Here is a 14,258-nt window from a genome sequence, read left to right on the forward strand (position 1 = left end):
TTTAAGGGTGTGTCCAGGTGTATTCCTCTAGCAGAAAACCCTGACACAAGGAATGCACGAGTTTATTTGGGAAACACCCCCAGGAGTTACCTGTAGTGGGTGAGGATGAAGAAGCCAGCACGGGGTGAATGAATGAACAGATTTCTACTAGGTAGATATTTTGCAATTAGAATGTTCATGAAACAGAATCAATTAAAAAGAAGACAGAAATAATTAAATGAAGGACTTTACACACAGAAGGAGGAAAGGAAGGAAGAAAAAGGAATTCTAAAATTCAACTTTAAGAAACTCAACACCATAAGCAATAGCTAGCAGAGGGTCAGTGATCGAGAGGATCCAAACACAGTTTTTACCGCTGATTATTTAATAAGCACTAATGCGGCCACAGATAGGATATTTAAATTATATGTCATATTTTCTTGAAGTCGTTATCTAATGATGTCCCACTGGGGAGCACATAGTAAAAACACACCTCAGGATGGTCCCATCCAAGGTGTGAGGAAGCTCCAGTATTGATCCTTAGTTTGCATTTGTGCTTAGCTAAAGGCTACTCCCTGAAGACTCCCTCCTGGTTCATTTGGAGTGTCCATATATTTTGGAATTGTTTAGGGAGCAGGGGTGTGCTGAGGGGAAGAGGGAGAGATACACCAAAAGTATCTGCTGAAGATGTCCATAAAATATTCTTATTGGAAACATAATTTTATTTTCCTCCAATGATGGATATGGGCCATAACCAAGGACTGGAGAGATAAAAATGGGCTTGAAGAGCTGAAAGTAAAAATTGTGAAAATCTCAGGAGGAGGCAACTTGAAGACCCTCCTCCCTGGCCGCTCTTGGATGTTTAAATCCCTTCTCCACGCTGCTCATTCAATGAACACCCCCAAAGCCAAAGAAGCCTACCTGAAAAGCATTGAGGAAGACAGCAACCGAACCTCACATGTCCCATAGCTCTCTTTCCATCTGTCCGGAGCCCCATACTTTTTGTTTGTTTGTTTGTTTGTTTGTTTGTTTTTATAGACGGAGTCTGGCTCTCTCTCCCAGGCTTGAGTGCAGTGGCACAATCTCAGCTCACTGCAACCTCCACCTCCCGTGTTCAAGCCCCTGCTCTAAGAAGGCACATGGCCTGCTTGGTCCATGTTCATATGTGACTTACAACATGAGATGCTATAGTTTTCAACAGTGAAATATTGTACAAGTGTTGGCTCCCTGTCTTTGGTTTCCATCCCAGCATCAATTAGAGGCTGGAAAAAATGCAAGATTCATTCTGAAAACTCCCTCTCTGGAAAAGTCATTCAGATGCCAAATTTTAAGATCAGTGCTTAGAAGATCTAAGCCTCAGCTGCTTTAGAAGCAAAGACTCTCCAGCCCAGCTCTCACTCGACCCCCTTGGTCTCATCAGAATTCTCCCACCATGGCTGTTATTACTAATTTTATGATGACAGTGGAGCATTGACGTAAAATTTTAACAGTTCCTCAGTTAATTATTAAAATTAGTCTATCACGGTGAAGAGATTTTCTACTGTTTCTATGCCATGTAATTTCAGGTAATAAGTGAGATGATGGGATGCAAGAGATGCAAAACTGCTTGCATAGACGTTTTGAAATGCCAGAGAGGGCCAGAAACAAAACAAAAACAAAAATCTAGCTCCAAGCAAAGCTCATTTGGATACACTTTCTAGAGAAGACACTAAAAGCATGAAGACGTGGCAAGGAAGGGTAATTTAGAGATACCCTTTTAGAACTGCTCCTTGGGAAAAAGCAGAGTCCTTGAACTACCATTTGGTTTATGGCATGGTAAAAATCTAAAGCTACCAAAGCTAAGACCAAGTTTTTATTTTTAAAAGATGTATGACTATGAATCTAAAGAAATGCACAGTACAAGGAATACCTGCCTAGTTAGACTTATTGTCAGCTCCTTAAGGTGACAGACCATACCTAAGTACCAAGAAGTATTATTATTTTTCAGCTGTAATGGTGCCCAGCCTGGTAGTGAGTACCTAATAGGTTCTCAATAAACTGTTAATAAGAGTAAATATTTTAAGGTGTTGTCCATGGGGCTACATTTTAAAATTTGTTTATCTGGAAATAATTTCAAACTTACAAAATTTGCAAAAGGAGCTACACCTCTTAAAAAGTTGAAAAAGTTTGGTATAACTGGGAAATTGTGGTGTCAGCTACAAAGCCCAGAGGTGCAATTGTAAAGGCCTTGGGAAGAGGTGCTTTCTCACCCTAGAGTTGGAGCGCTTTGCTCTGTGGTGGGGAGGAAGTGGTTCAGAAGATGTGACTGGCCCTGACAGCCCACTTTGGTTTCTTTTTCTTCACGACCCATCCACTGGGAAACTAAAAATAAGAGCATTCGAGCTGTAAGCAACGTCCCCTTTCTTTTATTTTTTCTTTTATATTTAGCTTTTAGACTAGTTGAAAAACATTTCCCTAGTGTCTATAAATCCCAGGGTTTCTGGAGGCTCTATAGACATTAAATCAGTTCCACACAAAAGATCCGAAAAACATCTGAGATAATGTGTGCAAGGAAGTTTCAATGTAGGCGGTCCCTCTTGGGTTTCTTCCTCCTCATTGCAACTGGATTCAAAGTTATTCAAATGAATGTTTTATTGTCGTTGTTTTGTTTGATTTTGTTTTAACCCCAGTGTTCTCCCAGACTTTTGAACTTCCTTGTCCATTAAACATAACAGAGCAACTGAATGATGAGCTAAAACCCCTTTGGTCTTAGACATTTTTTTTCACCTTTGTTCCTGGATGTCATATTTTTTGTGTATTTTGCTTTGTTTTATAACTGACTTGTAGCTGAACACTGATGGAAGCAGGTAGTTGGGGGAAAGAACCCAAATGATAACACCTATGTCAATTTCATTAATGCCAGGGAAGCATGGACCAAAAAATAGATCCAGGATCAAGTCAGAGATTTTGCCTATGGCCATCTGTGGCAGACTGTATTTCCAGAGAGTCACAACAACATCTCCCACCCATAACTCTCTAATGATGTACCGGGACACTCCTCGCATTCAGATGTGTTCTCTATATTCCCTCCTCTTGAGTTAGGGCTTGTGACTATGGCAAAATGATGTTATGTGACCTCTGGGGTTATAAAAGGCTGGCGTTTTCATGGGACACTGGCTTAGAGCCCTAAGCTGCCAGGTCATCAATCTGACTGACCTGTCCTGAGGCAGCCATGCTGGGAGGAAGCCCAAAATAGCCCATGCAGGGAGATTTCATGAGAGGCTCTGAGACTACACAAAGGGAGAGAGGGAGATCTGATAGCCACCAGCTGCTTAAGGCCCTGCTGTTACTGCTCCAGCCACCTTCTAACTGCAAGCACACGAGAAACCTGAGATAGAACCACCCAGCCAGGCCCTGTCCAAATTCTTGCCCCTCAGAATCCAAGAAAGATGATGAAATGATTGTTGTTGTTTTAAGTCACTAAGTTTTGGAAAGATTTGTTATACAGCAATAGATGATATTCAGAATACCACTTATATCCTTAAAAGATTTACAATCACAAATTGAGGAAGAAATAGTAATAAATGAGACACCCATCTATCTATATAGATTCAGTTGACCCTTGAACAACATGAGTTTGGACTGTGCAGGTCCACATATTCATAGATTTTCTTCTGTCTCTGCCACCCCTAGGATAGCAAGACCAATCCCTCCTCTTCTTCCTCCTCCTCCTCCTCCTCAGGCTACTCAACATGAAGGTGATGAGGATGAAAATCTTTATGATAATCTCTTCCACTTAATTAATAATAAATATATTTTCTCTTCCTTTAAATATTTTAATAACATTTTCTTTTCTTGGCTTACTTTATTCTAAGAATACAGCACAAAATACATGTACAAAATATGTGTTAATTGAATGTTTATGTCCTCAGTAAGGCTTCTGGTCAACAGTAGGCTATTAGTAATTAAGTTTTGGAGGAGTCAAAAGTTACACATAGATTTTTGACTGCACAGGGAGTCAGTCCCCCTAACCCCCACATTGTTCAAGGATCAAGAGTGTACCTTTTCAGTGATAGTGTAATATATTTTCATATGAATGAGGTTTATCAACTATGTGATTTTAGTTCTCCTCAACTAACTTATTTGTTTCCAAATGCTTGGGTCACAAGGCCAATTTGGAAATATAAACCTAATCAATCTAAACTAGGTAGACCTAACTAAACAATCAGTTTGATCTTGGTGTGTAGGGAAGAAATTATTTTTATTCAGTCTCCCAGACACTTATGAACATGGTAACATGTTATACAATTGATTTTCAAAAAGAAACTCTCTAGGCTTTAAGAGTCTGAAGTTTCAAAAGGGTAACTCTATAGAGACCCAGTTTACTTAGTCACATGTACTTGACTCACCTCAATCTGTATTATGCAAAATGAAAGAGAAGAGCTAATGTGTATTTAACATAGATTTAATGTTGAAAGAAGCCTTAGTGACATCACTGATAAAAATATAGCCCTTGAATATAGGGGAGCTAACTTCTTAAAAGCCAACTCCTGTAGCACATGGATGTTCACCTTCTTGAAGACTTCTTGGTATAAATTGCACCCCATTTAGGTAAGCTGTCATGTGCTTCAAGAAGAGGAGCATGTATCAGTTAGCTTTGGTTGTGTAACAAACCACCCTGAAATTTAGTGGCTTTAAAAAATAACCATTTTATTTAGTCCATGATTCTGTGTGTCAGTTGGGTGATACTTCTGCCTGGGTTAGCATGGCTTATCTCTGCTGGGCTCTCATGCATCTGTGATCAGTTGGCATGCGGGCTGATGGCTGAGTGATCTAGGGTGGCCACCCTCACTTGTCTAGCAGTTGGAAGTCTATCAGTTGAATTAACAAGGGTGACCATCAACCATTGTACTTTGTTTCTTCTCCTTATCTTCTCTCATTTTCTTGCAGGCTAGCTCAGGCCGGGTAACGTGAGGGTCTCAAGATTATAGATGCAGCATGGTAAAGCAAACTCCAACAAGTGCCTTTCAAGCCTCAGCTGACATCCCATTGGACAAAGCAAATCCCATTACTAATTCCAGATTCAAAGTGTGAAATAGGGACTCCACCTGTTAATGAGAGATGTGGCAAAATCCCACTGGAAAGGGGTGTGCATTCAGGACTTGGGGGCCATTTTTGCAATTTGCTACAGGGATTTGCTTATAGTCATGTTGTAAACCCATAGCAAAAATCTGATCATCGCAGCTTTCCTTCATTCACCAGGAGCTGTCAAGAGGACACAAGAAGCAAACAAACCAACCCAATCCCCTTTCCAGTTCTCTGACAGCCTGTCATTGTCCAAAGGGGGCCAGGATGTTTAGTTCTGGACAGTTAGCTCTGAGACACAGAGCATAATTTTTTTTTTAAACACATAATGATACTGATTCAATATAACAGCTGTGAAATGATCATAAAAGGAGAAGTTAGAAAAAGGCCCGTCAGAAATAAGATTAGCGATGATGTTTCAGCTCTGCAGTTTTCACTGGGCTTTAGGAAAAGAAATACAGAACAAAAGGTTAGTTAACTTTCTCCCTCCTAATGAACATTATGAGGACAAATATTCTGTTCACATGTACCCCTCCGGCAGCCTGGTTAATTTGTTAAGCCCAACTGGACACATAAAGAGAGCTCCTTTATCTTCATTAAACCCAATAAGAATGAATGGCAAACCGCAGCATCATTACTCTGGCCTGATGGGTTTCGTCAAAGGGCCTGGAAAGCTCTTAAAACCCCAGACACTTTAAAGCTTGGCTGGGTTAGGGTTTGTTTATCTCTTGCAATAAATATTGGCTGCTCTTACCTCCATCCATAGACTCAGGCAAGCCAAAACCTGCTTCCAAGTATACACAGCAGAGAAAGATACAAGTACACATGCACATATGAGCATGCATGTGCCAGTGTATGCACACACACTAGCTCTACTACTTCCTAGCTGGGTGACCCTAAGCTGGTTATTTAGCCTTGCTAAATCTCAGTATCCTCTTCTGTAAAACAAAATAATAACAAAACTCATAAGGTTATTGTAAAGGTAGGTTAATCTTTTTAAGTGATGGAAATAGTAACTGTCTCACATTGAGTATTATATAATTGTTATTGAATAAGCACGGCTACTAGAGTTGGCAGAAAATTGCCCAGGAGTAGCTTTTGTGACTTTCTAGGTTGCTTTGGAGCCCAAGTGACAAAGTATGGCTGAAAATTGGCAATGGGGCCTCTTCCACACTCAGTCTTCAGCGGCATTGGAGTTGCCAAATCCTGAAAGCTGTTAAATCATTCCTCTTTGACAGGGACCTTGAAATGAGAGTGTGAGGGAAGGGCAAAGGCAGGGATGGAGAACCTCCAGGCAGCAGAGGAACAACAGTGGTGATGATTGATCATGTGATGACAGCAGAAACCAATATGTGAGTACATGTGAGAGATCAATTGTGGACCTCCCAGAAATACTATCCTAGGGGTGACTTGATGATTGTTGGGCTTTGAAATCATCAAGAGGTGTCTTCATTCACATGTTGGGATATTGGTGTTGACTTTTATCTGGGACCTTCTCTTTCATACTTCCTGTGTGCTTGACAGTAAGCTGAGCATCCAAAAGTGGCTTCTCCACTGGCCTGGGCTTCCTCACAACATGGCAGCCTTAGGGTATCCAAACCTTCTTGGTGACAGCACTCCTAAAGCAAGTGCTCCAACTCTCAAGTTGGAAACTGCATTGTCTTCATGACCCAGCCTCAGAAGGCACACAGCATCACTTCTACCACACTGGTTACTAATGAGACATAAGTTTGTGCAATTCCAAAGGGAAAGTCACAGATTGTACATCTTGATTGGTGACAATTCAATGTCACGTGGTAGATAAACGTGTGGGATGGGAGATACTCAATGTCACGTGGTAGATGTACATGTGGGAGGGGAGATATTGTGGCAGCCAAAATGCAGTCACCCACAGAGGCTATCAAGCTGGAAGATATTTACATTATATAAATAAATATTTTTTTTTTCATTTAAATGTGTTTTAGCTTTTTATCAGTCTTCTCAGGCTGCCATCATAAAATATCACAGACTTGATGGCTTAAACAACAGAAATTTATTTCTCACAGTTCTGTAGGGTAGAAGTCCAAGGTCAAGGTGCTGGTAGGGTTAGGTTTCTAGTAAGGGCTCTCTTCCTGGTTTGTAGATGATGCTTTCTCCCTGTGTCCTCACACAGCCTTTCCTTGATGTGTGCCTGTGGGAGGGAAGGAAGGGAGAAAGACTGTGAGCTCTCTGGTGTCTCCTGTTACAAGGACACTAATTCTATTAGATAAGGGCCCTATCTTATGGCCTTATTTAACCTTAACTACTTCCTCAGAGGCCCTATCTCCAAATGCAGCCACACTAGGGGGTTAGGGCTTCAAATTATCAGGGGACATAAACATTCAGTCTATCACATTCTTCCCCTGCTCCCCTGAAATTTATGTCCTTCTTGCATGTAAAATGCATTCATTCATTCCAACAGCCCCCAAAGTCTTAACTCATTCCAGCAACTACTATGAAGTCTATAGTCCAAACTCTCACTTAACTATCATCTAAATCAGATATGGGTAAGACTCAAGGTACAAATCCTGAAGTAAAATTTCTTTCCAGCTGTGAATCTGTGAAACCAGACAAGTTATGTGCTTCTGAAAAACAATGGTGGACAGGCAAAGGATAGATATTCCCATTTCAAAAGAGATAAATCAGAAGAAAGAAAGAGGTGATGGGTCCCAAGCATGTCCAAAACCTGGCAAGACAAATTCAATTAGATCTTAGGGCTCAAGAATAATCCTCTTTGGCTTGATAGTCTTCCAGATCCACTAGGGTGGTGGTCTCACTGTCTAGACTCATGGGGTAGAGGTTACACCCTTTGGGCTCTGCTGAGTGGGACTCTGACCCCAACTCCCCCACCCCCCAGACCCCATGTGGTGGCAGCCTGGCCTGTGGAAACCTCAGTAGTGGCTCAACCCTTGGAAACCAAGGAGGCAGCCCTGATTGCGTCTGTGTCACCTTCAGGGTTCCTCTTCCCTGTTCTTGAAGGACAGTGCACATCACAAACATAGCTCTACTGGCCTGTCCTGTAGAGTCTAAGTCCAACAGCCTTCTTTCCTTTCATCCCATCTCCCTTCTCTTCTGCTCCAACTGCAGTGTTTCTGCTCATATAATCCCACAATGCCTTTATTGAGTATTGTCCAGCTACCCTCCTGGTGTTCTCTTCTGAACATACTTTCTCATTTTTTGCAGTATGAACAGGCTGAGAATTTTCCAAGCCTTAAATTCTGGTTTCTTCTTGCCAACATTATGCTCATGATTATTTATGTATTCACTAAGAAAATGGAGGTATTCTCTCCAGCTTTCCTTTTTTCCTTTCTGTGCCTTCATGAAAATCACCTTTAATGTCAATATTTCTACCTTCATGACAATCTAGACTTTTCCCAGCATGCACCTCAAAACTCCTCCAGCCTTTATCCATTACTCAGGTCCAAAGCGGCTTCCACACTTTTAGTTGTTTGTTACAGCATCCCACTTCGCAGTACCAAAATCTTTTTAAGTCTGCTTGGGCTGCCATAACAAAATTCACAGGTTCCTGGATGAATTGAAAAACAGAACTTCGTTTCTCACAGTTCTGGAGTCTGGGAAGTCCAAGATCAAGATGTCAGCATGGTCAGTATCTAGTGAAGGCTCTCTTCCTGGCTTGTAGACAGTTGCCTTCTTGCTGTGTGCTCAAATGGCCTTTCTGTACACGTGCGTGCTCACACACACACATAGAGGGAGAGAGAGAGAGAGAGAGATCTGGTGTCTATTCTTATAAGGATATTAATCCTCTTGGATCTGGGCCCCACTCCCACAAACTCATTTATTTAACCTTAACTACTGCTTTAGAGGCCTCTTCTCCAAATATAAGCAGGGGAGGGTTTCAACATATGAATTTGGAGGAGACACCAACATTGAGTCCATAAAAAACTTTATCTAAATAAGCAAACGACCTACTTTGCCTACAGAATCTTTGTCTTTCTCTATGGCAATATTACAAAAGACAATCTCAACATTATGCTGCCGTTATGTGTTTTGTTATAGAATGGGAATAAGAACCAATGAGTTAATCATATTCTTTGGAGCATAACAATTCTATACGGTGAAAGGTTAACAAAACTCTGTACATTCGTAAAATTCTCTGATTAGTGAGAAAAAAGAAAAAGAAACTATTGGGTCCTGTAGCCAGGAAAGATGCTGAATGGCTCACAGAACTGAAAGAAAGACCTACAAGACTCGAGATCTCCAGGATAATAATTGGAGTCTCAGCCCTGCCGGCTTTCTCTTTCCCTGCCATCTCTCATCTCTGCTTGTCTCTCTCCTTATAAGTTAGTCTTGTTGTCTCCTACTGAAGACATGAGACCTTCTCTATGAGACTGGAAAAATGACCAACACAGTAAGACAGAGCTTCTTTCTTCTGGTGTCAACATATTAGTTCCAGAGAAGGACTCTGATTGGCTGTCTTGGGTCATATGACCAACCTTTGGACTTATTACTGAGGATAATGCTCCATACTTAACCAGGGCATCATATGCTCACTGCTTGACAAAGGGCTCATGATGTATTGCATCTACTGAATACATTTTTAAAACTTTAAAGATATGTGTGTATTCAAAAGCTTAGTCGTAAAAATAAACAGTATCCCAAAGTCCTAAAAAAAATAAAAACGTTCCTAAGAGTTTTCACATACTCCTGTTTTCCGCAGGAATGTTGGTTGGGAAATGCAGCTATTTTAATTATAAGAGCAGGCTAGTATTTCTGTCTGGCAGGGTTGGAAAACACCTACAGATAGCGCTTAGTGCTGGCTGGAATTCACAGGCAAGCAAATTAAATGGTTCACAAGTTCTAATTCCAGTACCTGGAATATTGGAGGATCCCTTGTCCTTTGAGAGGTTGGTTTTGGGTGTAACTGTAGCCCCTGCTTCTAGGGGCAAAGGTAACCCCTAATCCCAGCTATTATAGCTTGCTGCTGGACAACCATGGAAAAATTTCCATGGTCATTAGCTGGCAATGAGAGAGGTGACACTGGGAAATGATGGCAGGGCTAAAATAACCCTTGTTGCAACCTAATGAAACCTGAAAGTAATTTTTCAAGGTTTTAACAAAGTCACACATGTCTGTCCAACCCTGGGTGACGAAGCAATGTCTCAATAACTAAGAGTCCTTCTGGAAGACAGGAGGAGACTGACTTCAGCTCAGTATTGTTTGGCTCAATCATATAAATTCGGTTTTAATCAGTACCATGGTCTAAATGTTTGTGCCCATCTCTCAGGTTCATTTATTAAAGTCCTAACCTCCAAAGTGACTGACAGTGTTAAGAGGCAGGGTCTTTGGGAGGTCATTGGGTCATGAGGGCAGAGCCCTCATTAATAGGACTAGTGCCCCTGTAAAAGAGAGACCCCTTGCTCCTTTCACCATGTGAGAACACAATGAGGAGAGAGCTGTCTATGAACCAGGGAGTGGCTCTCACCAGACAATGAATCTGCTATGCCTTGGTCTTAGACTTCCCAGCCTCCAGACCTATGATCAATAAACTTCTGATATTTGTAAGCCACCCAGTGTATGTGTTTAGTCATAGCAGTGCAAACAGACCAAGACAATCAGCCACATCTTTTGAGAGCTATCTTGAAACCAGCTGACAGGAATACAGACAAGTGTAGGAGCTGGATCACTAGTGAGCACCTTGACCACTCCATAGCGTCCCCCTCTCCAGCATGTCGGCTTATCCCAGTGTCCGCAGTACAGTGATAACTGAACTTTGGACAGTGATGTTAGGGAAGAAACAACATGCCTCAGCTCAGCTTCTCTAACTGTGGTGTTCAGGGAGGACTGACTTCCAAACGTGGCTGAATATTCAAAAGTGATTGACATGTCATCATCTGTGGTAGATTCTTTCCTAAGAAGATGGACACATCAATTCCTTCCATCCATTATACCCTTTGCAGTGTGACATTGCCATCTCTTTACGAAGAAGTGGGGCCTATCTTCCTTTCCTTGAGCCTCAGCAGGCCCTGGGACTGCCACTGATTCAAAGAATGTGACAGAAGGGAGGTTGTGGAACTTCTGTGTACAGGCCTTAAGAAACCCGGCAGCTTCCCTTTTTGTCCTCTGGACATGTAAAGAAATCCAAGCCATCTTGCTGGAGAGGGAGGCCATGGGGGAAAAGAAGCTCTGGGGGAGAAGAGAGGCCATGCAGAAGAGAACTGAGGACCCCAGCCAAAAGCCACACCAAAGCACTAGACATGTGAGTGGGGCCATCTTGGCTTCTCCAGCCCCAGTGGAGATCCGAGCCAACAAAGCATGGAGCAGAGAGGATCCATCTCCCCTTGCTTACGAGCCCCACCCAAATCTCTGACCCACAGAATTGTGCACAATAAAATTGATGATGTTTAAACCAGCTGAGTTGTGGAGTGGCTGCATGTTAACAGAAAACTCATCCACCCTCTCTTCCCACTTGGAAGAATTAGTCCCACAAATTGGGAAGTTCTGCCCAAATCTGGGACCGTCACAAGGATCGGAACATGCTTTGTGTCGTTTTCACTAGCTTCAGAGCATTTCTCTCAGCAGACTAAAACCAAAACTAAATGAGTTGAGTTGCTTTTCTGTAGGGCTGGGCCACGCTCTTCAAATTCACAACTGGTTTATTTCGTGCTGAAAACTGTTCCAGTGGCCCTTTGGGGGTCGGTGAGCAGCCCCAGTTTCCTGAGAGCCACTGGGTGCCGTTTTAGCAACCCTGAGTCTCTTCGACCTTTATTGATCTTCTTACAGAGTTTGACAAATGGCTGTTGACAGAAAATGTTTAAAATATGAGATTCAGTCTCTCACTGGGTATACCTCTGCAACAAAGTTTCTATTGGATATCAATGGGAACATTCAGGCCGCTGAACTCAGCATCCTAATCATTTCCCATATCCATATCAACACCTACACTCTGAAAGTGATCAGTTCTGCCCATTGGTCTCTATGGACTGAGGAGAACTTTCCAGCAGCTTAGGCATGTCCTCTCATTATCAAGTGATCAATAAATCATTTGCCTAGGTGCATTTTATGGTTGCCCAATACACAACAGCGTAATAAAAGTTTGAATTAGGTAATGCTCCTTTTTATTATCAGAAATGAATTACCTCATGGGGCCAGCAAATACACAAATGTAGCATGCCCTTCCACTAAGTGGAAGGCTTTTTCAATCAGCTTCCAACAAATGCAAAAGACAAAAACAAAGTAACTGCCTTCCAAAATTGCCTTGTATCAATATTATAGGTTTATTTTATTGGGAGCATTGTTGCTCTTCATTTAATAATAAACAATACCATAATTTCCACAGCAACCACGGCAAGCCATCAGAGTAATATTAAACATCAGTTCTAAACTTGCAATGTTTATTCCTAGTCCAGAATAGGAGGGTTTCTGCAGGGCATGGTGAAATGTTCACACTGGAGGAAACATCTGTTTTTGTTCCAAGTAGACCCTGGAATGCTGGTAAAATAGCACATTATGCTGATGAATATATGTAATGATACCAGCATCCATGTTTGCTGTAAAAAGGTATATCATACCAAGTGGTGGCATATTCCGGTAACTTTAAAGCGCATGTTTCATTTTTAATGTTTAAACAAAATTCCTCACATAATAATTAAATGCCTACTGCATGCAAAGGATGGTCTCCTGATTTTCTCGGTTTTTGGAGTCTGTTAAATAGGGCCAAGATACTCTGATACCCAGCCTGCGTGTCCCTCAAGGGTGAAGCCAGGTCTTCATCATTGCCCTGTCTCCAATGTCTGGCATTCAGTAGGCATTCAGTTAATGCTTACGAATGAACAAACACTTCTTGCTGACACAGAGGCAATGAAAGTGTAGGAAGTTTTCCTAGAGCAGGAGATCCATAAATTGAGTCTGAAAGGATGGGTAGAATTTAGTCCAGAAAGGGGAAATGAAAGGACACCCCAGGCAGAAACCAGCCAGGAAGGAGGCACGGACAGGAGAAGCTGGGAGTTGCGTGCTCTGATATTCTTGGGTTAGTTGAGGGTAAAAATGAAGCTGGGTAGAGAGGCACTAGCCAGGTCATGGAGGACCACAGGGGAGTCCTGCGGGGTTTTAAGCAGAGAAGGGTCTCAATCAGTTTGCTGATTTATAAAGATTATTCGGTTTTGGGATGGAGATGGAAACATGGGAGGTACAGCTAGAGCGAAGGAGAAAACTTAGGAGGCCAGTGGGCTTGTCTGTCCTGACACCTCACGACTGCTCCTGCAGGTGCACAGCACAGGCTGACCTCAGCACCATTTCCATCCCGTGGCCACTTGATCTCAACAAGGTCAAACAAAACCACTTAGGATCTTGAGACATCTCAAGTCCTGAATGCCGTGTTTAGAGAGAGCACATTGTTTCAGAATACAGTGGCATGCTCTACTCCCACTCCCCTCCTATCCTCCTATTAGTGGGCACAGCTGAGTGATTGCTCAGGGTGGACAAAAGGGATGAAGTGTCACCATCTCTCTATTAGCTTCAAAACATTTCTTAGGATAATCCTTCCTTGGAGTTCAAGGAGTCCCTCCCATCTTCAGCCAATGTTGGGAGGACAAATCTTAAATGGTTGCATTTGCCGAAAACTTGCTTTACACCTAATGGAAAAAGGCCACATCCTTCCCTGATGATTACCATTAGAGATGGATCCAAAAACCGCAGGCAGTCAGGTTCACAGACTTTCCCAGCCAGAGCACACCATGAACCCACTTAAGTGCCAGGCACTGTTTTCAAGGTGCTTTCAAGAGCACTGGATAGGTTTTGGAAAAGAAAAGCCCAAACCTTATACTATTTTGTAAGCATCCGAAACTGCTTACCTAATGCAGGCCCCTCCTAGACTGGTCTGTGAAAATAATAGGACATTTCAGAAGAAATAGTTAAGAAATCAGAATTACTCAGAGTAGATGAGAAAAAATGTCAGCAAGGACTCACGGACTCCTCTGAACCCAGGTGGTTGATCCATATAGAAAATGGAGCCTAAGTGGTTTGCCAGCTCTATCTGAAGCTCAGAAAAAGAAACATGCTTGCTTTTTATCAAGAGAGTTTAATTTGGACAGAGGAAATTTTACTGATTTAACAACTGAGGGGTTGTTAGGGACTGAAATGGATTACGGAAAAACTGCCTTCAAATTCATTCCTCAGCAAATACTTACTAAGCACCCACTGTGTGCTGAGTGCTGTTCAGTGCTGCATGAATTTACTGA

General features: G+C 42.1%; 1 long non-coding RNA gene across 1 annotated transcript in view; it reads right to left on the reverse strand.

The window, feature by feature from the left end:
* Positions 1 to 4,647: 4,647 nt before the first annotated feature.
* The window catches only part of LOC124904874 (uncharacterized), a 44,620-nt gene continuing 35,009 nt past the window's right edge, over positions 4,648 to 14,258 (reverse strand). The window contains exon 2 of the long non-coding RNA XR_007067537.1: positions 4,648 to 7,213. This is a non-coding gene — a long non-coding RNA (uncharacterized LOC124904874). The remainder of the gene's footprint in view (positions 7,214 to 14,258) is intronic.

The sequence above is a fragment of the Homo sapiens genome, chromosome 20 (genome assembly GCF_000001405.40).
Source record: "Homo sapiens chromosome 20, GRCh38.p14 Primary Assembly".
Classification (NCBI taxonomy): Eukaryota; Metazoa; Chordata; class Mammalia; order Primates; family Hominidae; genus Homo; species Homo sapiens.